At 42.4% G+C, this 26,677-nt stretch overlaps 2 annotated features.

Annotated features, from left to right (window-relative positions):
• Positions 1,996-2,500: an enhancer, noted in NCBI's record as "H3K4me1 hESC enhancer chr16:51988034-51988538 (GRCh37/hg19 assembly coordinates)". NCBI's record gives its function as "activates a minimal SCP1, AML or CMV promoter by ChIP-STARR-seq in primed H9 embryonic stem cells {active_cell/tissue: H9 hESC(primed)}" and the evidence as "EXISTENCE:reporter gene assay evidence [ECO:0000049][PMID:30033119]".
• Positions 2,501-3,006: an enhancer, noted in NCBI's record as "H3K4me1 hESC enhancer chr16:51987528-51988033 (GRCh37/hg19 assembly coordinates)". NCBI's record gives its function as "activates a minimal SCP1, AML or CMV promoter by ChIP-STARR-seq in primed H9 embryonic stem cells {active_cell/tissue: H9 hESC(primed)}" and the evidence as "EXISTENCE:reporter gene assay evidence [ECO:0000049][PMID:30033119]".

Genomic DNA, 26,677 nt, shown 5'->3' with positions numbered 1-26,677 from the left:
GCCAGGCCTGGCTTAAGCCTCCATCATGCTGCCTAAGTGATTTTTTTCACCAACAGCTTATTGTTCTTCCAACTAGGGATAATAAAGCCATATTGTGAAAGCAAGTCCTATTTGACATAAGTCATTTAAATCATATTTCAAGATGTTTGCTCAGCACACATAGTTTGCTATTTAATTTTACGTCAACCTGTACTGGTGATATAGCTACAGTTAGGGAAACTGAGGCACGCCAACATCATTAGACTTGGCCAGGATTTCTATAAAATGGGAACATTCTATTCTGCTCTGGAACCTTTAAATAGACTCACTACCCACTCACCACTGTGTAGTTTTCCTCTATTACCCCACTCCTGAATTCACCCAGACCCCCCACTTTACCCTCAGTCATCATGCTTATCCTGATCTGCTCCAGACCCCTCACCCCAGTTTGGTTGTGTGCTTTTCCTGCAAAATCCTCCAGTTTGCAGGAATTGCTTTGTTCTCTTGGTTCTAGCTGGACCTCAGAATTCCCTCCCAGGTACTCCCGACATCCTTGCAAGAAGAACAGCAGTGTGGTGCTTAAAAGCTTGGCTTTGCATCTGCCTGTGTGACCCTGGATGAAATATTTAATGGCTCTGAGCCTCAGATTCTTTTTTTTTTTTAGAAATGAGATCTCACTCTGTTGTCTAAGCTGGAGTGCTGGAGTGCAGTAGCAAAACCATAGCTCCCTGCAACCTTGAACCCCTGGAATTAAGCAATGCTTCCATCTCAGCCTCCCAAATAGCTGGGACTACAGATTCATACCACCACACCTGGCTTCTTTATTTTTAATTTTTTAAAACCTTTGTAGAGATAGGGTCTTGCCATGTTTCCCAGGGTGTCCTGAACTCCTGGCCTTAACCAATCCTCCTGTCTCAGATTCCCACAGTGCTGATATTACAGGTGTGAGCCATCATGCCAGGCCTTTTTTTTTTTTTTTTTTTTTTGAGATACCATCTCTCACTCTGTCGCCCAGGCTAGAGTGCAGTGGCATGATCACAGCTTACTGCAACCTCAAACCCTTGAGGCTTAGATTCTTCACCTGCAAAATGTAATTATCAATACCATCCTCTCTGGGGTAGGAAGCCTGTGATGGAATCATGTCCAGTACTGTACTTCTCTATTAGGTGCCCCCAAATGTCTATGGCATGATTGAACTGTGCCCAGCACATGGGACATGCTCAATACATAATCACTATTTCTATTGAGAGAAATCTCTGTCCTCCCTGTCCCGGCAAAGCAAATTAGGGCCATTCCCCACCTAGGGATTGAATGGGAAGAGAGTTAGCTATGTGAGAACACACATCATGCCCGCATTGTTCCTTTTGTCTTCCCAGCATCTAGAATAGCTCTTAGCAAATAATTACAATAATAACTAGAAGGAAAAGAGTGCACATTTATTGAGCACATACTAATTGCTAGGCACTATGCTAAGCAATTTATCTGTGATATTTAATCCTCACAAGTATTCTCTGTAGCAATTCCTAAAGATTTTTCCTTTTTTTTTTTTTTCTTTTTGAGATGGAGTCTCACTCTGTCACCCAGGCTGGAGTGCAGTGGCACCATCTTGGGTCACTACAACCTCCGCCTCCCAGGTTCAAGCCTCCCGAGTAGGTGGGAATACAAGCGCACTCCACCATGGCCAGCTAATTTTTGTATTTTTATTAGAGATGAGGTTTTGCTGACCTCAGGTGATCCGCCCGCCTCGACCTCTGAAAGTGCTGAGATTACAGGTGTGAGCCACAGTGCCCGGCGATTTTTCCCCATTGTATAGAATGAGAAAGATGCACTTCAGAGAAGTGAAGTAACTTGACTTGGGTCATACAGTTAGTGGCAGCAAAGCCAGAATTCAAAAATGAGAATGGTCTGACTATAAACTCTGGGCTTTAACTACAGAATATGCTGTTTCAGTAACTAATGAGAAAGGGAGGCGGGGAGGAAGGGCAGAAGAAAAGGAAGGAGGAAGGAAAAAGGAAGGAGGGAAGGAAGGAACAAAGGAAGGAAGGAAGGAAGGGAGTCGGGGGGAGGGAGGAAGGGAGGGGCGGAGAGAAGGAAGGAAGGAAGGAAAGAAGAAAATAGGAAAAGAGAAATGGAAGGAAAAAGAGAGAGAGGTAAGAAGGACACCGTCTGTAGGCCCTGCCTAGTGTTCTTTCCTTAGGTACTAGTTCTTAAACTTGGCTGCATGCTGGAATTATTTGGCCAGCTTAAAAGAATACTGATGCCTAGGTCCCACCCATCCCCAGAAATTTCAGCTTATCTGCTCTGGTCTGTGGCCTGGACATCAGGACTGTGGCAGCTCCCAGAGGATTCTAGCCTGCAGCCAAATTTGAACCCTACTGCCTTAGCAGGAACATGCTCCCCCTGTCCTCCAAGGTGGCCAGAGCACTTTTCATTAGCACATGTGAGCGGCACCTGAGGCCTCCAGTGGCTCCTCCAAATGGCTTCAGCTGCAGGTGCTCTGGGCTCTGAACAGGGCAAGGGTAGACACAGGGATGGCATGGTTGAGGCAGAACCTGGAAGGGCATGGGTTTCAGGAAGTGGGGTTTATTACAGTCCAAATGACAAAACCTTCTGTGCCGAGTTGCATGCCGACAGTGCTCAGACTGCAGCAAGGGGATGGATGCAGCCCCTTCTGGTGAGTGTCCCCCTCACCATGGTGACAGGGTGTCTTATGTCTGGGATTTACCCGACAATGACTTTTCCAGCTTGCCCCAGGCAGGTGCTCTGATCTGACCCAAGGCCTGGTTCATCAGGATTGAGCAGCTTTTCTTGGACTGGAGCTGGGGATCCCTAACTAGACTGGGCAAACCCTGGAGCTTGGCACTAGGAGGGGAAGAAAAGCGTCTGCCTGTCGGGTGGGGTGTCTGAACCACTGTGGGAGTTGCTGAAGTTATTTGAGCTGAATTGCCAAAGGATATAGCATTTCCTTTGATTCAGGAAGGAAAGTGACCTTTTTAATGTGAGGTGGTGAGTATTCCTCAGGTTCATAGCCAAGCCTTGGGCTGGAGGGTGGTCTGTGAAATCCCCCGGCTTCCACTCCAAGGAGAACCAGGCAGGCAGTCTGTTCTCCGTCTCTTGGCTGCCACAAAATTCATCAACACGTGGGAGATCTGCCTTCTGTGAGACGAAACAAAAATCATTAAACAAAAATAGCCATTTGCCATGCTTGGCCCAGCCATCAACTCAAAATGTTCTTGAAGCTTATAATAAAAGCAGCTATTTATTGCCTGTTTTCTGTGTTTGAGATCTTGTGCTGAGTGGTTTACATTATCAGCACATCTAATCCTCACTTGTTCCCTAACCAGTTGAAATCATTATTCCCATTTTGTAGAAATTAACCTGAGGTTCAGAGAGAGGTTAAATAAATTGCCCAAGGTCAGAGAGCTTATGAACAGCTAAAGTAGGGGCCTGTACCCAGCTTTGTTAGATTCCAAAATGTAAGTGCTCAAAGACCTTGCTACACTGTCTCTGTCAGGATCATGACTCTGTTTTATTTATCTCTGAATTTCTGGCCCCTGGCACGGAGTCTGGCACCTAGAAGACCCACAATTACGTTTGCTGAGTGAATGAAGAAGGAATGAATGAATAAAAGAACAAATGGGCTGGGCATGGTGGCTCACACCTGTAATCCCTTGGAGGCTGAGGCGGGTGGATCTCTTGAGGTCAGGAGTTTGAAACCAGCCTGGCAAACGTGGTGAAACCCCATCTCTACTAAAAATACAAAAATATTAGCCAGGCGTAGTGGCGGGCACCTGTAATCCCTGCTACTTGGGAGGCTGAGTCAGGAGAATTGCTTGAACCCAGGAGGCGAAGGTTGCAGTGAGCCAAGATTGCACCACTCATTCTGTCTCAAAAAAAAGAAAAAGAAAAAAGAAAAGAACAAATGAAACCATTGCATCATTCTAACCTCAAATTCCTCATCTGCAAAATAGAGGCTATGAGGATTAGAGAAATGATGCTGCCTGCTACAAAGCTTTGAAGAACAAGTGGACATCCTATATAGGTTTGCTGATGCTAATCAAAGCACTCAGAATTATGTTGAAAGGATAAAATTTCTCATTATAGCTATGCAAATTTTGCCTATTTATTGCTTTTCTTTTCTTTTCTTTTTTTTTTTTTTTTTTTTTTTGCTTTTTACTGAACAACCACAAAAAACAACAATGGCAAGATGTCACATATGAAGGATCTAGAAAGTTTTCCAAATGATAGAGGGATGAAGTGAGAGAAGATGAGATTTCAGAATATTCTTTTTGCTACTGTGTTTGTGGGGATCCAAGCCTTTGGAGCTGAGAAAGAATGCTGTGATGATCTGTGAAATGGCTAGGGAACTCAGAGGCATTTAGCTACTTTCACCAAAGTCACAGAGAAAGCAAGTGGCGGAGCGGAGCTGCAAAGAGGAGGAGAGGCTCTGGTTTCCAACCAGGCTCACACCTCTGTCTCCTGCCTGGAGCTGGGGTGAGCCCAGCCTCTCTGAGCCAAAGGTTGGCCTGTGAGTTGCACGCCTGCAGCTGGAACTGGCAGACCAACTATGGCATGATTGATGCTCCCTCTGCTTTTGTCATTTATTTGCCTTGTTTTTTTTCCTTCCCCCAACAGAGCTGATAAGGAAGGTTTTGCCAGAGAATCATGTATCGCTTCTTTTTTTTTTTCTATTGACCAGTGAAATGCAGTTCTCATTACTCCAGCCACTTTCCAAGGGTAAGCAGTTTTGCATTATTTAGCACCTAAATTGGGCCTTGAAAGAGACTCGGCAGGGGCCTCTTAATGTTGGGGTGCTATTCTCTACTCTCTTGGTCCCAGCAGATAAACCGTCTCTTCAGGTGTCAAGTCTACGTGATCTGATAGTTTTGCTTTGTTTTGCTCAGGATCCTGACATGGAGTACCAGAATTTGGAAGTTGAAATTTCATTTCCAGAAACCTCACTTTTCAGGCAGTGTGATATGGTCAAATGATAGAATGACCACTGGTAGGGGACAGATAGGATGTGAATCCAGGTTCTGCATATAGTCTACTGGGTGGATTTTAGTAAGTTACTTCACTTTCTCTGGGCTTCTCTTTCCACATCTGTAAAGCTGAGATCCAGGCGGGTGCTGGAGTAACACCAGTGAGGTTTCTGCAGTGTCACATTTAGAGAAGCACGCATGCATGACCCTGAAAGTGAGTGCCCCTTAAACACTGTATCCTGCAAGGCCCCCTGCCTCCCAGTAGTCTGTGCCCTGGTTGAGATGGTTAAGGTAACAACTAACCCTTATTAGGCATTTACTGTACACCTGTCATTACCTCAAGAGCTTTGCACAACAGCCCTGTAAGGCAGATATTATTATTGATCCCATTTTGATAAATGAAAAAACCGAACTAGAGGTGGTTATCCACCTAAGATTACAGAGTTTGCAAGTAGTTAAAGCCAAGATTTTTACTCAGTAGCTTGACACATAGTAGATGCTTAAATACATGCTTGAGGGATGTTTCATGCTGTGGTTGTTATTAAGGTGAACATTCAGCAGCCATGCTCCTCCCCTGAAACAACCAGAATTTTGCTTGGGACCTCAAGTGGCGTCTGACCACTTCAACCAGTCTTGGAGATGACAGATACATTTACAGTGCTGCCGAATAGAGTCATATTAAGTTATCCATCTCTGCCAACTGCTATTCATTGTGAGACCTGCTCCATAATGAAACATTATGGATTGCTTCTTTTGGCTAGAGAATAACTTAACCTCTGACTCGAGATGGAGGTATGTTTTCCATGAAAAGGTGGTTAACAGCCTCCTCCACTCAGCAGAAATACCCACCAAGGATGTGTGAAGTGCCAAAAGACGTATTACATCCTCAAGGTCTGTGAAAGCAAATTCCTCTCAATATATTATGTATTTAATTCCCCATCTGGGTTTCCAGGAATTAAGGCTGTTATTGTACAGTCTAATTTTAAATCTGGAGCTTTATTATTCAAAAGAAATGTCTTTTTTCCCCCTTCTCATGCTCTTTTCCCTCCATCTTGTTCTGTGTGCATTCTGTAGTGAGTTAATTGAGCTTTCCCCACAGGGATTCCATTGCAACTCCAGGACTTGAATATCCTGATAGTCGATGAAGCTGAAAAAAGAGAGATTTTGCAGCCATGACTATATTCAAATGGAAGCTTTTCCTTTCCATGGAGAAGTATAATATGTCTAAGTGAGGTGGTTTTATATTAACTTTGAGTGGATGGAATCAGAGAATGAGATAACACACTGTCTTGTGTCTGTCACCGTCATATCTCTGGCTGCCAGGGTACCTGTCAAGCGCTGGGCCTGGGCAGAGAGTCTGGCCCAAGAGCCCATTCCTGCTTGTCTCATCCCCTTCCTCCTCCTTGTCTGTCTTTCATCCAGCACATGGTTGAAGTCACCCCATATTAGCTGGACATTAACATGGAAAAGCCTAGGCTATGGCACCTTTACACACTAACTCTTTCCTGCCTTCCTAGGTAACTGTGGGGTGTGTTTTGGAGAGAAGAGTAGCTGAAATTAAGTGCTTCCTTCCCCTTCTGTTTACTTCTTTGGAAGTGTATTTCTGCATACTGATTGGAGCTGTCTTTACTTTTTTTCTGTCTTTAAAATAGGAACGTTAATATCTGAAAGTGGTTTGTAAGCTATGAGGTACATGCAAAACAAATAAAAATTTAGAATTATTTTTAAAACAGTCTAAAAGTGTATTGATATAGCACCTAACAAACCTTTGGGGCTTATGCACTCCAAACCCAGCTCTGCCTCCTCTTAGCTGAGTGATTTCCTGTCAATATCTTGGTCCCTTAGATTCTCAGTTTCCTCATCTGTAAAATGAGAATATCTATTTATCTCAAAGATAGTTACGAATGTTTAATGAGGCCATCTACTTAAAGCCCTTTTTGCAGAGTTAGCCAGTTAACTCTTAATGTTGTTAGCAATGCTGATGAAGGGGTTGGGTGTTATTTTTATGCTGTTATGATTATCATTTCTCTCCAAGAGGAATTCCCTCCCTTACCCTGGCCATGCCAGAGTGGAAGGTAACTCCCCTTGTTTCTCCTGCCTTTCATCAGCACCGGGAGCTGGTTACTTGAACTGTAGACTAATGCACATGTGGCCTCTAGTGAATGTCAGGCAGAGAGTGAGAGTGGAAAATTCCAGGTCTGGCTGCTGCTTGGGTGGCTGACCCTATTAACCATTAGCAGTTTATCTTGAATCTGATTCTGATTACATCCAATTTGTTCTTTTGCTCTCCTCCCTCCCTGGTTCCCATCTAGAATTTACATTAGAAAATGAACAGCCAGTGTATCTCATTTGTTAGTGCCGGAGCCACTGGCTGATTTCTGATGTGGACTCACCTAGGCATTCTCTGGGTTTTACGAACTCACTACATCACCATGCATGGAGATGGGGCAGACCTCTCTCTGGGCCTTGGTTATCCTCTATGTTAGACGACTAACCCTCAGTTATTGTTACCTCGTTTTGGCCTCATCAGGAATTCAGAGGTGATGGCTTTTGAGCTTCTAAACAGAAGAGTGCTTCAGAAAGAGTGGAGTATTTAACATTAGGTATATCTCCTAATGCTATCCCTCCCCCCTCCCCCCACCCCACAACAGGCCCCGGTGTGTGATGTTCCCCTTCCTGTGTCCATGTGTTCTCATTGTCTCATTGTTCAATTCCCACCTATGAGTGAGAACATGCGGTGTTTGGTTTTTTGTCCTTGTGATAGTTTGCTGAGAATGATGGTTTCCAGATTCATCCATGTCCCTACAAAGGACATGAACTCTTTATTTTTTATGGCTGCACCAACATGGCACATGTATACATATGTAACTAACCTGCATGTTGTGCACGTGTACCCTAAAACTTAAAGTATAATTAAAAAAAAAAAAGAAAGAGTGGAGTATAGCAGTGTTGCTTCTAACCTAGAGGTTAGATGCTAAAGACTGATGAAAATGTTGAGTGGTCAAAGTTATCCTTGGAACTTGTAAATTGTCCAACAATGAAGCTCAGAAATCTAGATCTTATGGATATAATTCTGTAGTAATACAGATGTGTCAACAGAAAATATACACAGACTATACATAACAGAGCAACACGCAAGAATATACATAGCAAAGCAACATGCAAAACGTAATTGTGTGCTGGTTTTGAATTACATAAAAAGAGAGCACATGTAGTTGAATTTGGGTGTTGAATGCATCCTGAATTCTGCCTCTCTGTAACAGAACTGAATTATTTTGCTTTTCTATGAAAGGAATTCTGTGAAAAAGAATTCTGTTTCAAGATTCAAAGAGTTTAGTTTCCCAACTATCACAGAAGCTTTATTGGGAGGGAAGTTCACCTATAAGGTTGTTCCACAGGAAAAACAGAGAAGTCAGCATGGGGCCAAAAACTCTAGTCTCATTTTATTTTAACCAGGGCCAGTTACCCCAAGAGAAGACTACAGAAAATAACAGCAGTGAAAGCCAACATTTGTGACTGCTGTCTGTATTCCAGATGCGGCACCAAGGCCTTTATATCTGCTGTTTCATTTGAGCTAGGTACTATTACTATTCCCTGCTCACTGATGAGGAAATGGTTGAGTAACAGTGACCAGCCCAAGGTCACACAGCTAGCAAGCACAGGACCCTGGAACACCTGTCTGCAGTCTCATTACAGAGTTCATGATCTCAGAAGGACACACAAAACCAAGGCTTTCTTCATGCTGCCCCTCCCCCACCCCGGCTTCACACTTGGACAAATCTAAGTTTCCCCACCTGCAAAGTGGAGACAGTGATGTCTGATCAGAATATTGAGTAAGGACCAGGAAACAAGGCATGGAGAATTGTGCCCTCTAGAGCCATGGAAGTTTTTAGGTAGGTGTTGATTTAAAAACTAAGATTGGGGGTAGTGGGAACTCAGCCTTTTAGTGCTACCCCCACTGATATCTAGTCAAAGAGAATGGTCTGTCCACCTGTATGCTCAGGAGAGCTTCCTGACCTCCCTCTTCTCCAGTGCTGCCCCTTCGTTTGAGCCTGGAGGCTGGGGGAGTGTGGGGGTGTAATGGGTGTATCCCTTTGATCCTATATATATTTTTTTCTTTTTTTTTTCTTGTCAGGAGTGTTTCTGAATTTTCTTCTGATCTAAGAAGTCTTCAAGCGATGCCCCAACCTCCTATTCAGGAAGGACTGAATTAGTACCTATTAAGGAAATGACCAGTGAATCTGCTGACCTGAAAAAAATAATAATAAAGGGGGTTTTTGCCTGTTAGATTCATTGCTCAGATGCCAATTCATTTGCAAAAAAATAATTGCCTTAATAAATCCCATTGAGCCCAGTATGAGAATGAGGCAGAGTTAAGAATAAAAGACATTCTTCTGCAGGGATCAGAAATGCTGTGATAGGGAGTGTCCTGGGATTACGAGAATGCACTTATTGGAATGACACTCACACTGAAAAGCTGGTGAAAGAAGGCAAGACACTTTTCTATGTGGTGGGAAAAAGAAAACTAACTCGGTTTGTGCACACCTCAAAGGCATATTTTGATATACAGTGAGGGGGAAAGTGGGGGCCCTGAGGCCTAGCTAGGTGCCTGGTGGCCGGGTGGGGCTGGAAGTGGAGGGGGTTTTGGTTTGGTGGAATTCCATGGTGGTGTGTGAGGAAAGTTGCCACATTAGGAGGTCTGAAACTCTAAGTTGGAGTGCGGGCTCCTCTCTGTTGGCTGTGGGACCTTTCTTTCTCAGTGCCTTGATTTCCAAACACCCCATGGAGCTCTTAGGGGATATGCATAAAATCTGTGACAGCACCTTATTACTTGTAGGGAACTGCTCCTAGGTGACAAATCATCATATATATGATCAGCGTTTATCGAGCACCTATTCTGTGAGGTATTACCCTCAGCCCTTTGATTATGGGACTGACCAAAGCCACATAGTCCTTGTCCCATGGAATTTACATCCAGGGAGTGGAGACAGACAATCAGCAAATACATGTATAATATGGGAAAGGAAGGATTTGAGCAGGGAAATGATAGCAACCGACCTGAGTTCCAAATAGAGAAAAGTGACAAATAAATAAACATGCCTCCTTATTCGAAAGAGATACTTCAGAAGCCCCAGTTAATAAACACTCCGTGTTTTTCAGCCCATCATAATGTATAGGTGCAGCATGTTGCAAAAGGATTTAATCTCTAAAATTCTCCACAAATGTCAAGCTCATAACAAATATCAGAGGCAATTTCATATTCAGTTCAAAGTTCTTCTTAGACATATAATCTATACAACTTTATTATATAACTTCTTAGACATATAATCTATATAACTTCACTATTTTCAAAGTTCATCCTAAACATTGAATTTGTTAGGCCCAAAGGACTGGTTAATGGCAAGTTAATAGTCACCTTCCATCCACTCACTGATGCAGAGATGCCTCTCAACTTACAAGGGAGCTGTATCCTGATAAACCCATCCTGAGTCAAAAGTACATTTCATGCTGGCAACACTGCACAGGGTCCTTGACTGACTTACAATGGTTTCACTTGCTGATTTTTTTACTTCAAGTTGGTGCAAAAGTGGTAAGAATTCAGTAGAAACCATAACTCCATGGTAAATTGTAAGGAGCTCTTTGACTTAGCATGGGGTTTACACCTGCATAAACCCATCATAACTGAAAAATCTTGAATTGAGCCATTATAAGTCGAGGACAATCTGTATTTACCAATGGGCTTTTATGGAGTGTTATTAAGCACTATGCTGAGTCCCAAGGTAACCCCTGCTCCATGGGGCTTGCCATCAGTTCCTTCGGGGTTGCATTAACTCCAGAATTGTTCTGTGCACAGAAGGGCTTTTTAATCATGATCTGTGTTCTTCGTGTTTCTCAGGCTTGCTGAGGCTGAAGGTGGCACAGTCATGTGGTGGGGTATCTGAGTGTGAGGTAGTGCAGACAAGGTGTGTGCTGAGCATGGGAGAGGATCCTCTGATGTCTAGGAACAATAGCATCCCCCAGTCAGGAAGCCCACAGAGGGGCTTGCCAATGCATCTTTGTTTCCTTCTGATATTAGCTCTGTGCAAAACAAAACCCCAGTCATGCTCTCTTTTGGGTCTCCTCTTCTTTTAGAAAAAAAAAAAAAAACAACAACAAAAAACAAAAAACAAAACCCTCTCTCTTCTCTTATCATTAGTTCAAATTTCCTTTGTTTTCTGGATATATATTTTAAACTTTTTAGTTTGAACTAATTTTAGACTTACAGAAAAGTTGCAAAACTATAGAGTCCCTATATACCCCTCACCCAGTTTTCCTTCATATTGACGTCTTCCACAACGACTGTAAAATGATCAAAAGCAGGAAATTAACATTGGTACAATACTATTCACTAGATGGCAGGCCCTATTTGAATCTCACCAGTCTTTCCCTAATGTTCTTTTTTTTTTGTCTGGGATGCAATCCAGTGTCCCACGTTGCATTTGGTTGCTGTTTTTTTCTCACTCTCTCTTAATCTGCTACTTTTCCTTAGTCATTCCTTGTTCCTAGCTATTTCTAAGGGCACAAACCTCTATAGTCCTTGAAGAAATGTTAGGGTCATGGAGTTTTGATGCTGGACAGGGCAGTCGCAAGTAGTAAGGTTCCCAACATCAGAATCAGTCAAGAAAAATTGGAATGATTTGGCATCATGACAGATGTTGCAAAGGGAGTAAGTGCAGGGCACAGGCATTGGACTTGGAAGCAACATCCTAGCTCCAATAATGATAATGATAAATGTTAGCTCTCACGGAAACATCTTGCTTCTGAAGTCAGGGCTGTGATCAGCCCATCTAGTTTGAATCTGGGCAAATTTTTTCATCTTTTTGGGCCTCTGCTTCCTAATCTGTGAAGTGGGGATAATAATAGCATCAGTTTCAGGGTTGTTGCAAGGAGTTAATGGGATAAAGCATGCAAAGTATGTAATACCATACCTGAAACAGGGAAAATGTTCAATGTATGTTAACTATTGTTACTATTCTATTAATATTATTGTCTTTATTATTTTTGTTTATTTCTTTTGAGACGGGGTTTCACTTTCATTGCCCAGGCTGGAGTGCAGTGGCGTTCACTGCAACCTCCACCTCCCAGGTTCAAGTGATTCTCCTGCCTCAGCCTCCCGAGTAGCTGGAATTACAGATGCCCACCACCATGCCTGGCTAATTTTTTGTATTTTTAGTGTAGATGGGGGTTTTACCATGTTGGTCAGGCCAGTCTCGAACTCCTGACCTCAGGTGATCCTCCCAAATCCCTCCCAAAGTGCTGGGATTACAGGCATGAGCCACCACACCCGTTCTGTCTTTATTCTTGTTATCAGTCACCATATACATACTATTTGCCAAGGATGATGTGAAACACTACCTATCCTATAAGGTAGTTATCTGCATTTTCCAGATAAGAACCTGAGGCTCAAAAGTGGGGCTTCAGACCTAATTTTATCTGACCCTGAAGCCCATGTTCTTTGAAATGCTACCCGATTGCCTCATCAGTAATAATGGAGCAGTTGTATGCATGATGTATTTTACAGCTCTTTCTCATGTATGGCACTCAATTTAACTTCAAAACATCCCTGGGGGTTGGAACAATAACAACAACATTTGGTAGATAGGTAGGGAAAGTGAGGGACAATTTTGGAAAGAAATGAGATATTCCTCATCCATGCACATATTCTTTCTGGCAGAGTGGTCTTGGAATCTCAAGGCCCTTCTAAGCTCCTAATAAACATGTACTAACTTTTACAAAGCATTCTGAGTTATTTGGTGCAGTATCAGTATGAGGCTTCAAGCTTGCTCCGTATCAAGGATGCCAGGAGCAGGTGAGCTGCGAAATCTCAACAGCCACTGTGCAGGGACCTGTGGCCTCAACCTCAACCTCAGGAGATATCTAGCTAAGGCAACTTGAAATCATCCCACATTTGGCAAATGATGCCATAATTTAAGGTTTGTCTTTGCTCTCAGAGAAGTTATACCCCCAAGTTGCAAACTAAAACCCAAAACACAAGACCTGAATCTCTTGTGCTTTTAGATTTTCTGGTGTGACAATCTTTGCGTTTCAGGAGGAAAAACTGACCATGTTCCTTACGTCTGGGGAGGGGCATTAGAGACACTAAGGGATATAAAAGTAGTAAGAACCAACATTTTTAATTCCAACTGAAAGGAGGCCAGTCCAAATGGCGAGCTAGACAGGAAAATACTTCTTTTAGTTCAAAACATATTCTCTGAGTAGTGTGTATATTGGGGCCATGGACAAATGAGACATTGCCTCTGGAGACATGGGAATGATCCCAAATGATACCTACTATGTGCCTCATATTGTGATATGCATGTTATCAGCCTTATTTTTTGTTTCATTATATATAACTCTGTGATGTAATTATTATTTATTGTATTTTACTCAATGAATGATTAGAGATTTAGAGAGATTGAGTAAGCACCCCAAGATGACACAGCAAGTAAGTACAAACCCGAGATTTAAACTCAGGTCTATCAGACCCCAAAGGCCATGCTCAATATACACTGCCACATGGACCTTGAAGAACATGCAGACCAATGTGGAAGACAGGCAAGAAAGCTAAGCCTTGTGCTGCAGCGGTTAGATTACCAATTGGTTTCCCCTCATTATTCTGAGAGAAGACACTACAGAGGAGAAGTTTCCAAATCTGGTTGCAGAATGTGATTCCAGGGTTCTTCCTGAGCCCCATTTAGACTGACCTCCCTTCCCCACTGCTTAAGGTGGATGTGTATATAGGGTTTCCTGTCTTGCAAAGTCAGAATTGGAAAGGGGAATGAATAAAATGTCTGCCTATTGATGAACCTGCATTAAAATCAGATAAATTCCATTCATCATTCAAGAAATAGTTGAACTGGAAGGAACCTGGCTCATAGTGGGCATTTGGTAGATACGAGTTGAATGAATTAATGAGTGAGTGAAAGAATAAATTTTGAGACCCTAAGAGGTTAATAGAATGCCTTGTGTGTATAGACCAATCTCTGGCTCTATCCTTTTTCACAAACGCAGGAAAAGAGATGAAGAAAGTTACCCCCAATCAGTGTCACCATTATATTGAAAGAATATAGAATCAGTTCATACCAACGTACCCGCACAATTGCACTTTTGCTTATTTTGAAAAACTAAACATTTTTGAGAGTTTTGAAAATAAGATTAGATAAGACGTCTTGGGAATCTTAACTATTAAAACTAATTGTTCCTACTGTTGTTCAGCTCATTCGAGGGGATTGCTTCATGACTTCTTCTACTGCTGTGATTCCAGGAGACTTAACACAGTCTCTTGTCTTCGGTCAACTCAATACAATCATGGTTCAGTGATAAACCATGAACCATTTTAGCTGTTTAACTATTATAACTATCTAGCAAATGAAGAAATGAACATGAGTCTCATTTATGATTACTGTGTAATTAATTCATGTCAGTAAGAAAAAAAACACATTTAGGGGCTACCGTATGTGGTTCTGTTTTCTTTTAGTTATTTGTTTGCCTATGAGAGAAATGAGATAGATATTATTCACCATCAGAATGCTAATGAAAAAGTCCTTGCCTGGGAAGACCACAGGTGCTTTGTTTTTCAGGGAGTTGTAATTTCACGTGGAAAGAAGGTGAGTGAGAATCATTTGTTCTGCCATAATGAGCCCCACTAACTGGTGGTTTCTGCCTTTGGCCATGGTGTTCACAGCCACCACGAGGGGTGGGCCTTGTCGGTACTAGGCTCCAGGTGAGGCTTGCCACATGATCATGCGTCTCTGGCTTGTCAGATCTTCTGAAATTTTATGAGAAGCTGGAATCTGGCTTTAGAGCTAGTATCTGCCAATTTTTACATTTCATTATTTCTATGATTAATATTATTGTCTTAAATTGTGAGATTCAAGCAAAACATGACAGCACACACAGTTTCTGGATTCTGGTTAAAGGGAGGCATTGGCACAGCCTTGGAGTCAGGGAGCATCCACTTGCTCTGTTGCTCCTGTTTCTCCCCTAGCTCATAGTTGCCTGAAGGGGGCAGATCTATAGGGAGCTGTGCAAGCCAATAGCACTGTTCTATGGTTTGGGGGTACTTTGGGTTGCTGCATGAGAAAAAAAAACAAAACTAAGTGATGTATATGAAGTACTTAGGCTTTTCTAGCTTTTATTATTTAGATAATTTTATTTTTCATTTATTTTTCATGCACATAGTAGTTGTGCATATCTATGGGGTGTGTGTGATATTCTGACACAAGCATGCAAAGTACAATAATCAAATCTGCATAATTGTGACATCCATCACCTCAAACATTTATCATTTCTTTGTATTGAGAACATTCCAAATATATTCTTCTGTCTATTTTGAAATATACGATACATTATTGTTAATTATAGTCACCCTATGGTGCTATCGAAGACTAGATCTTATTCCTTCTAGTTAACTGTATTGTTGTATCCATTAACTAACCTCTCTTTCTCTCCCCATCCCTCACTACTAGTTAGTTTTAGTAACCAAAGGCAAGAACTACAACCTGGTGGCCTCCACTATTCTTGCCAGCAGAGGGGTTTCCTTTGGTCTACACAGCCTGCCTCTCCAGTTCCCTGACTCCCAACTCATCCCTTTTTATGGCACAGCTGGCCAGCTACACCCAATTTTATATGCTGGATCTTTGTAGGCATTCGAGTTGCAACCCCCTCCCCTTTTTCAGGGGAGACAACGTCTTTCTCTCTCTCCCAGACTGAAGTGCAATCACAGCTCACTGCAGCCTCAACTTCCTGGGCTCAAGTGATCCTCTCACCTCAGCCTCACAAGTAGCTGGGACTATGGGCACACACCATTGCCCTTGGCTAAGTTTTTTATTTTTTGTAGAGACGGGGTCTCCTCACATTGCTCAGGCTGGTCTGGAATGCCTGAGCTCAAGCGGTCTTCCTGACTCAGCCTCCCAAAGTGTTGGGATTACAGGTGTGAGCCACTGTGCCCCTTCTTTAAGCCTTTAGTTACTGGCATCTCATGAGCAACTGGCTTTAAAGCTCTGTTGGAATAGGACAAAGGAGAGCAAGGTAGGCTCTGAGCCAAGAATGGAAGAATGCAATTCTTTCACATTACAAATCAAGATTTCTCAAAAGTTCTCCATCATGCAGTGTAAAATCTACTACACCTCAATATCTTCTGTATATCTTGTTACCTGGCCCAAGTCCTACCCACCCCGTAGGTCACACTTTCAAGGTTCTGAGCAGGATTTATTTGTTCTGCCTCTATGTTCCTACAGCAGCCTGGGACCAGCACAATCAAGCACCTCTTTCACATTCTTTACAAGTTTTCAGTTGAGATAGCTACAGTCACAAGCTGCTAGAGCTAGGGGTATTCATTTCATATTATTCCCCTTGGTGTCCTCTGAACTCAGAATATTTTTTGGTACACAGTGAGGGCTTAAAATACTTGTCAAGGGAGAAAGGAGAAGGTCTCTTGAATGTGGATGTGTATGTACCACTGAAAATCTTTTCGATTTTGCAATTTTGCCATGAACCCTTCCCCGTAAACGTTGTGATAGAGCAGGTAGGACACTGAGTTTCCTACTTCCCTTGCCTTCTTTTTCCTCACTGGAGAGGCAGGAGGAGGAGGCAAGAGAGTGCAGAAAGAATGATTCTGAGACTTTCTCCTTTCCAGTATCCATGCCACTGTTGGGGGATTAAAACCCAACCTCTTCCCCAGTGGCATGTTCAGCAAACCTCTGACTGTCGGAATCCAATGCGTCAATTGAATATCAGAGCAGCAGATCTGGATATTGTGTTCTCTTCAGCTGACCACCTCTTGCCGGATGGGAGGCAGGGCCGGGGGAGGCAGAGAGAGCCAAGATGGGGGAGGGGAGAAGGCAGAGGAGAGCTCTCCATGGGAACTTCTCCCTCCCACCCTTCCAAATCGTAAATTAACAACAGTGGACCTTGTTAAGTGCAGCTTCACAAATTAATATGAAATATAGTGCTTTTTCATAAGCTTGAGAACCAGATTTAAAAGCATATTGGTGTTTGTACACAGCAGGCCGTAATGATCCATTATCTTGCAGACAGAGAAGCTTGCAGCAACACATAAAGAAGATGCAATTGGGCCATCTGCTTTGATTTCTGCAGCGTCCCCAGAGATCCAAGGGAGGAGCTGACAGTCCTCTCCATCTGCCTTTACATTATCAATTACAGTTGAATTATGCCGCATGCTGCAGGGCTGGCAGATACGGATGGGAGATTGTGGCACCTGAAAAATATAGAAGAAAATCCATATGTTGGGAGCCAGCTGTTTATTTACAAGTGCTTGACATATTTCCTCACTTTCTCGGCTGTTGCCTTTTTTAAGGTTCCTAGAGACATTTCAGTTTAGTGTGAACTTGAGAAGAAATTAGGTGTAACAGCATAACACCACATGAATAATATTTCAGTTTCCTTTTTTACAGTTGAAATGCACACAGAGCAAAAAACATCAGGTCAAACAGATTTTAAATTATGAAAAAAATAAGTTGTGAAAACATCTGGGGTGGCTGCTACAGCTTGTTATGTTTATAAAACATGTTGGAACAGGCGGGGCGGTGCACACTGTACATTGTTGGCAGCTTAGAAATCATGTGTAAAACTGTAACTTTTATGAAATGGCAAGTGTTTATGAAAGCTTAGGGAGTGGGGAAGGTAGAAGGTGGAGTGGCCGGCACTTTCATGAAGTCTCTTACCACAACTTCTGGGAATGCTGCTTGAAGGATGAAATGGTCTGTTTTGTTTTGACTTGATTTTTTTTTTTCTTTTTAAACAAGGGACTTAACCTGTTCCTGATTCAACTGGTTCTAGAATGGTGAGGTGGAGGGCCGCCATATTGATTATGTTGTGCTTGGGTTTTATGGTATGAGATTCCTTCCAACCGTGTGGGAATTTACACTTCATTCTCATTTCATGCCACATCCTATCCCCACATCTACTGAACAGCGGAGAGCCTGTGTGTGCCTATGTATGTGTGTGTGTGTGTGTGTGTGTGGTGTGTGTGTGTGTTTGCTCAGCTGAGGTTCCCATGCAGTGTGTCTAGAGGTTTGGGGAAAAGATGCCGAAATTCGGCACTTGCAGGTGGCAAAGAATAAGGGGACTCATTCTGCTATCAAGGGAGACTATTTTTTTAGATGCCCTAGAAGCAGAGATTCTTGCAGGGTAAGTAAAGAGACTGAGGTCAGACGTCAAGCCCCAATTTTCCACCACTCACTTACCATTCAGGGCCAATTCACAGGGCCTCTTTGTCCTTATGATAACTCCTCCAAGGTCCCAGCACTTAACACTTTCTGTCTTGCATTATATTTTCTGATGCATCTTATACTTTTGAGGTCATGAAATGGAGGCTTCCTGAAGGAAGGCATGAACTTACTTATTTTTCCTTCTTTCTTAAGATCAGCATGACATCTGGCATTTCCTGAGTGTTCATAAAATGTAAAAGGAATAAATGAATGGGTGAATGAATGATGCCCTAGTATTTTCTGTATATTAAATAACAGGCTTAGTAGGGCAGGGGCAAAATCTAGTAACAAAGAATTGTCAGCTCGTGTTATGGCCTTTGAGACACAAGGTCTGCTGCTAAGGGCGCCTTCTCTAACCTGACCACTGTAGACGAGAACATGTCTTTCTCTTTGTGGTCACTGGGCAGCTCCCTGGGGAAGAGAGAACCAAACCACCAAGCAGGGATTGCCTGTTATTCTTTCCCTCTGTCCTCACAGCCTCTCAGCCACTGACGTCCACTGACTTTCTCACCATCACCTCGTGGGTCCTTCCTGTCTGTGCTCACAGCACGGGGGTTCATTCATAGTCTCATGGAAATGAAGTTATGTGTGCATAATGATCTCCACAGTGCTTCATAATAAAAGCTCAATGCATGAATACTGTGGTACTAGGACCGTATGTAAGAATTTGTGGGCCCAGTGCAAAATGAAAATGTGGGACCTCTTGATCAAAAATTAAGATTTTCAAGATGGTAACAGCAGGGCATGAAACTAAACATGGATCTCTTCTAAACACAGGGCCATATGCATCGGCCACACCCCCGTGAAGCTGGCTTTGCTAGTGATGCTTGGTGCTATTAGTGCTAGATCCATCAATACTTTTATGATTTCTCCTTCCCTTTCACTTTCTTTTTCCCTTTTCTTGTCCCCTCCCTTTTCCCATCATTCCTTCTACTCTTCCCTCTTCTCCTCCTCAAGACATTATGCAAGACTCTTACTCTGTTTCCTGTTTCCATCTTTCCCTTTGCCCATTTTCTTTTCACTTAGATACTGAATGGAGCCTCTCTAACAGCAGCCGGCGGCCTCATCACTTTTCTACTCCTGAGTTTCTCTCTCCTTTTTTTGAGCTTGAATAAACCTAGATAATAATTTTTCCCTTTGATGATGACTCATGAAATTGTTTCTTTCTTTATTTAACATGTCTTATTGATACATAATAGATGTATCTATTTTCAGGGTACATGTGATAATTTAATACATTCATATAACTTATAAAGATCAAATCGGTGTAATTGGATATTCATCACCTTAAATATTTGTCTTTTCTTTGTGCTAGAAACATTCAAATTATTCCCTTCTAGCTATTTTGAAATGTACATAGATGACGTAAATGTTAGTCACCCTACTGATCGATCGAACACTAGGTCTTCTATCTGACTTGGTTTTCAGTCTCTTTGTCAAGGGACCTAGCCTAACTGTGCCTACTTCAGAGGCATGTTGCATTGCTTCAATAATAGTATGAATGAATATACATAAAAATACACTCACGATTTTGTATGCTCCTAGGGACATGGTGGGAGCTCACAGAATACCAGCTATCTTCATCCACCTCTTCCACCTTCTCCTCATCAATGTTGTAACTCTTTCCACTATCTACCCAGCAGAAATCCTTATGTCTAACCACAATTTTCTTTCTTGTGGTATGATACTTTCTTCATTCATTTGTTTGGTTATTTAGCATCATTTGTTGAATCCCCGAACATACAAAGATGCAAAAAGGCCAGGACATCCTCTATTAGTTTTGATTGTTTTTTCTTTCCCTTCTTTCACATCTATAACCTCCTTTAACCCTTATATTATATTTATTAGAAAGGATATAGCAATAAAATTGGTCAGAGAGAGGAACTGAGTTGGTTAAAATCATATTGCAAGTCAGTGGCGATGCCAGGATTAGAACTCAGCATCTGTGAGCCTGAGCTAATTCTCCATCCCCAAAGTGTAGTGCCTGCTGAGTTCACCTGTAAATTCCTAACAGATGGTCAACTAGACTTTTGCTCCTTTTCTGTCTTACTTCAACTCAGGTTGAGCATGCTGGATAGGCAAGATAAAAATGAATGAATGCTTGAAGGAGAAAAGAAAATCATTAATGCTCCATTGGCTGGTATCCTTGATAACTCCCATTTTCATTATCTATTGCTACTTAACAAATCATCACATATTTGATGGCTTAAAACAGCTACAACTATTTGCTCAAAATTCTCCAATTTAGGCAGAGCTCATCTCTGGCCCATATGGCATCAGCTGGGATGACTCTAATGTGGCTGGAGAATCCACTTCCAAGATGACTTACTCATATGGATGGGAGGTTGGCATGCTGGCTACCAGCAAGGAGCTCGGCTAGGGCTAGTGGCCATGTCTTGTTTCTCCTTCATGGGGCCTCTTCACATGGCTGAGCTGGGCTTCTCACAGCACGGCAGGTAGGTTGCCAAGGGGAGAATCTTAAAAAGAAGAGTTCCAGGAAGACAAGACCCAAGTTTAAGCCTGCACTGCCCCAGACACTAGCCACTAACTACACATGACAATAGAGCACTCGGAATGTGGTTGGTCTGAATTGAGATGTCACTTACCTGCAAAACGCACACCTGAGTTTAAAAACACAGTCTGAAGAATTAACGGGTACAATACCACTAGCACTTTTTAAAAAAATCTTGATTACATTTTGAAATAATTGTTTTTGTTAAATAAAGCATACTATTAACCTTATTGGCTTATTTTTCCAACATGGCTGCTAAAAATTTGAAAATCGTATCTGTGACCCACATGATCCTATGGTGCTCCCCGAGCTTACAAAACTCTGTTTGCATGGCACTTGTTATTGTCCCACTGACAAAAGCTGGTTACATGACCAAGCTGGGGTCATCCTGGGAAGAGGCTACCCCATGGTATTAATACCAGGAGGCTGGGTTCACTGGAAGCCACCCAGAGAACAATCTACTGGAACTTCCAATGCTTCCATTATGTTCAATTTAACAAACAATATAGTGCAATTTTCTAAAATAATCAGATGCAAAAATGTCCTATAAAATGTCAGAGAACAAGCTTCCAGGTTCTGATATAATAGCATACAGTATTTTATGTGTTTCAGCAATGATTACATAATTATTAATTATCTACTGCATACAAAGCACCAGGCACTAGTCAACAGAAGCAGAGCAAAGGGTTCTCATGTATCTTAAGACTGGAGAAATTCAGATTGAATTCATGGAGTGAAAGAGTGCACAGTATAAAACTGTTCCACATTAAGTCCTAGTTCTATGTTTCAAAATAAGTGCCACATGGGCTACTTGCTTACCTGTGGTTACGCCAGTTATATTCCATCTTTTTCTTGAATGTATCTTTTCCCACCTACGGTTTCTGAGTTTCTAATTCAGGAGCTCGGAGGCAGAAGCAGCACAGGAATATTTGCTGAGTACAATTTAACGAAGTCATTTTTATGTGCATCTCTGATCTAGAATCATTGCAGAGTAGGCTTCATGGGCATTCAAAGGAGATAAAGAAAGAAGAGAAATGAGATTGGAGAATCTTTCTGGAAAAAGTGGTCCTTAGAAGTCCTTAGAAGTCGAGTGGATTTCAGCCCCTGATAAGAGGATACCAAGACAGTCACAATATTACATAACATTAGCAAACAAAACTTCTGCAATCACCTCACTCTCAGGCATCTTAGGGCGTAAGGGTGGCAGTTCACTAGGGCTGCCATAACAAAGTACCACAGACTGGGTGGCTTAAGCAATAGAAATTCATTTTCTCACAGTTCTGCAGGCTAGAAGTTCAAGATCAAGGTGTCGGCAGGATTGGTTTCCTCTGAGGCCTCTCTGCTTGGTTTATAGATGGTTTTATCCCAATGTCTTCCTCCTTACACAACAGGCTTCCCCCATTCCCCCCAGGAGAGGCACGGCCCATGACCCTTGATAACACTCACTCTGTTAGTGACAGTCCTACCTGACATTTGCCATTTCTCTCTCTCTCTCTCTCCCTCTCTATCTCTGGCTTCCCTTTCCTGAAATCTTATCTGTGAGGCCACTTGAGGGTGTCCTGCAGTGACTCCTGCTGATGGTGCCCAGGGAGATCCTGCCTAACTCAGTGCCCAGAGTCTTCACCTCAGAGAATGACAATCTCATTCTTCCAAATTCTCAGGCAAGACAAACTGGCAGTCAACCATGACTCATTCCTAAATTCTAGCAATTCTTTGTCATTTTTGTCCTTGCCCCTTCCTCTGCCTGGGATGCTCTGTCCCCAGATATCTTTATGGCACATCTCACTCTCTTCAGGTCTGTACTCAAATGCCATCAAAAGAGCTTCCCTGACAACCCTAGAATAAAAGCAGCCCTCACTGTTTATCTTCCTTAATCTAGCTTCTACTTTTTGAGACAGGATCTTGCTCTGTCACCGAGGTGGGAGCCCAGTGGCACGATCTTGGCTCACTGCAGCCTCTGCCTTCTGGGCTCAAGTGATCTTCCCATCTCAGTCTCCCAAGTGGCTGGGACTACAGGCGTACACCACCACGCCTGGCTAATTTTTGCATTTTTTTTGTAGAGATGGGGTTTCACCATGTTTCCTAGACTGGTCTCAAACTCCTGGGCTCAAGTGATCCTCCCACATCAGCCTCCCAAAGTGCTGGGATTACGGACGTGGGCCATTGTGCCTGGCCTTCCTAACTTCTTTATACTTTTCTTTTAGCATGGTTTTGCATATTCTCAGAAAAGTTAATGTCTCCTAATGCTGCTAAAGCCATAACTCACTTGTTCACCATTTATCCATGGCACAAATGCTACTACGTGGAAAGGACTATGCTATGTTACAAAGATAAGTAGAACAAAGGAAAGACATCTGGTCTCATTCTAGTGGAAGGCAAATAAAGAAGTGAATACATGCATTGGGTTATTTCGTGGTGGAAATAAACAGTGGTCCATGAAGCTTTTGTGAGGAAAGGATCAGAAGGAGCAGGTTTCACAAGCCTCTTCTCTGTCCCCTTCTAGTTCTCATCACTATAATAACATGGGCTCAAATCTAGGTGAAGGAGCTAAGCAGAGAGCAGATGCTATGTCATCCCTTCCATCTATCTTCCTCCCTTTTCTACCACCACTTCTGACAGTCGCAAGACAATAGTTTCCAGGCATGGATATTCATGGGTACCAGTGGATGGATGATCCAGGGATGGATGGGCTGGGAAGAAGACGGTTTCCTCCCTACAAGAAATGTCAGAGCCCTGGTTTAGCCATGTGCCATCACATTCCATAATGTCCCACCTCCACATGGGAGCTGCCTACCTAGTCCACATTTTGTAGCCTTTTTGATCACAGAAAACTCTAAGTCTTTTCAAGGCATAAACAATGACCTTCTCAAAATGGAAATCTGATCATATATCCCCTGCCTGAGTTTAAAGCTCTAAAGTGGCTTCCCACTGCTCTTGGAATAAAAATCACCTCTGTACCAGGGCCTGTGGACCTTGTGTGGTCTGGCTTCAGCCTCTGCAGCCCCATCTCCCACTATGCGCCCCTCTGGACTGTCCACTGTGGTGACATTGGACATCTTTTAGTCTTTTGAGTTCACTCTGCTCCTTCACTTCACTAGCTTTTGCATATGCTGTTCCTTCTTTTTGAAATGCTTTTCCCTCTGTCTTAGCCAAATTTCAGCCTTAAGATTTAACTCAAATATTTCTTCATGGAAGTTTTTCATGATCCCTTCTCCCTCTCCTTTGTGGCATAGAGCATAGTTGCAATTACTTAGTGATTTGTTGATATATGTCACTACCCCCATTAGAGAGTAAACTCCGTGAGGTCTGGAATTGTGATAATTTGTGCTGACCTCTGTGTGCCCAGCATGTTCTCATGACCTGCAATGGAGTAGGCATGTGTTAATGTTTATTGAATGTGTGAATGATTAAGTAAATTAATTAATGAATACAAATATATTTCTTTGTACTCCCCTTCATCTCGCTTATGAAGTCAATAACAGTTGTTGGATAAAAAGGCAGCCCTTGTTCAGGTACACAGAAATATTAGGTCACTGCACAGGAAATATAAGGTCACTGATCATAAGAGGCAACTAAGTCCTGTCAACTTGAAAGTTGTTTATTTGTTGGCTTTGCTAGAGAGCATCCTGCCCTGGAGACAGTGGTGTTCAGGTTGGAGATGGGGTGGAAGGGTGGCGTCTTAGGAAAAACACTTGGCATGAGCTGACTTATACTTCTGCATCACAGTTTTGTGTCCTAGTGTTCATATGCACCAATATGCAAATAGAGATTATTTCTACATTTATATTCCCACCTTTTTTTTCTATTATTATTTCCCCCTCAGCCCAAGTTACAGTTTTTTCCTGAAGATTATTGGTGTAAATGGAATAAAATCGGTTAAGATCATAAATATGATTCAAGAGGAGTAACCGGCATAGGTTTGGGGGATGGTTGCCCCTCCCTCCTCCTCTATAATTTATTGTTTTTCTTCTGTAGGAAGCCAAATGACATTTCTCTAATTAACAGACACAGGCAACTATCGTATAAATCAACATCACAGCCTTTTTAGTGATGCAATCACTTTAAGATCAGGGAGTATAAATTAAACATCACAAATGCATCTCTAGAAGCAAAATATAATGAAATAAAAGAGAGAGGGGCTGCCTGGATCTGGAGACTGTTTGGGCACGAAGAGCAATCTTCACTCTGGGAGCTGCTGGTTTTGCCACAGCATAATCCGGGGAATCTATCCTGCTTGGGGAGAGGAACATCGTACATTCATGTATTTTCTGTTGTATGTTGTCTGTAGGTGTGATTGGGTGTAAGTGAACTGGAAAGCCCAGGATCTGGGTGCAAACCTCAGCTATGGCACTTACTCCCTGCATGACCTTTGGGAAGTCACCTGCCTCCGTGAGCTCCATTTTTCCATCTGTAAATTGGAGATAGTAACAATCCTCACTTCATAGCACAATTATGGGTGTGAATACATTAATGCACACAAAACGCTTAAGATAGTATCCCACACATAAAGAGAATTTTAATTAATTTGAGTCATTATGAGTATCAGTATGATTATCCAGACTCATATTTAGTTTCTCTTCATTTTAGTGTTATAATCACTTAAAGGCTGATTTCTGGGCCACAAACTTGTCACCTAATTCCACAATTTGTGTGGAGCCAAGGACACTGCATTTTTAACAACTGCACTAATGCTTCTGCAGGCAGTCTGTGGACCACAGTTAAAAAGCACTGCTCTATGACATGCACAGAAGATTGAGACATTGACTACCTAACTCAGTCTAAATTCTACCCACTAAGAACCAGATGGTGCCAAAAAACACCCAGGGAGCAGATTTAAACTTATTTTTAAATTTCCTTCTAGGAAGTGGATTCTGGGTGGGCTTTGAGGGAGCACTGCCCTTTCCCCACTCCCCTAACTCAGAGCTGGATTCCTGTAAGTGTGGAGATTGGCTGGGAGATGAGGGTCCATCAGGGGAAGACCAGGTTGGGGGAATGAGCTACAAGTATTCCTTTTCATTCACACACACATGGATCAATTCCCTTTCTCTCCCCTTCTCTTTCCCCAAACTTGGTGATTACTTTAATAGTTCCTCCCAAGTCAGAGCCTTGGAGAGGGGATGACACGTTCCAGCCTTAAAAACACTTCTGTGTTCTTGAGCTCATGTAAAGTTCTCAGCTCTGCAAGACCAGTGGGAAAGACAGATTATTATCTCTGTTTAACAGATGAGAAAACTAAGGTTCAGAAATAATAGAGGATTTGCCCAAGCTCATACATTTTCTAAAGGATAAGTAAATCTTGTTTGCAGGACTTTTCATCCTAAACCAACTATTTTTCACATTGTGACACAGAACTATTGATCTTTTCTCTTACCTAGAAACAAATCATGATGGTTTGTGTACAATCATGTATAGACAATTATATTTTGAGATGAAGCTCACATGTTGTGTGTGTGTCTGCGTGTGTGTGTGTGTGATGAGGATGAGGTTCAGCACCACCTCTTATAGCTTCTTATTCCTTTGTTCCTCCAATTTTGGTGTCCCAAAATACCATCTCACCCACAGAAGCCTTAATGGCCCAGTTGTATTTTCCATCTACTAGCTAAAGAAGCATTGTCTTGAGACTCTATTCCTGACATTTGAAGCATGATCAAGAGCCACAGTCCCTAGAAGTCCTCATGCATTTTATGGAATGCCATGACATTTTAAAGGTTGAAAGGAATGTGTTTGAGGACACATGGGACATTTTCTTTTCTTTCCTGGCCCTTCTCCTATTCAGTCATCAAGGCACGGTGTGTTCACTGCTTGAGGAAAAGATGATCCAATCACAACGTAGAGAGAAAAGAGGAGTCCTGTATGGTTCTTGAGTTTCTAAAGTCTGAGATGCAGGACAAGGGAAGATTCATGAGCGTAGATTTGGGCAGAAATCTGGAAGA

The sequence above is a fragment of the Homo sapiens genome, chromosome 16 (assembly GCF_000001405.40).
Source record: "Homo sapiens chromosome 16, GRCh38.p14 Primary Assembly".
In the NCBI taxonomy this organism is placed as follows: Eukaryota; Metazoa; Chordata; class Mammalia; order Primates; family Hominidae; genus Homo; species Homo sapiens.
The sequence above is the reverse complement of the archived record's forward strand: the minus strand, read 5'-3'. Positions and strand labels throughout refer to the sequence as shown.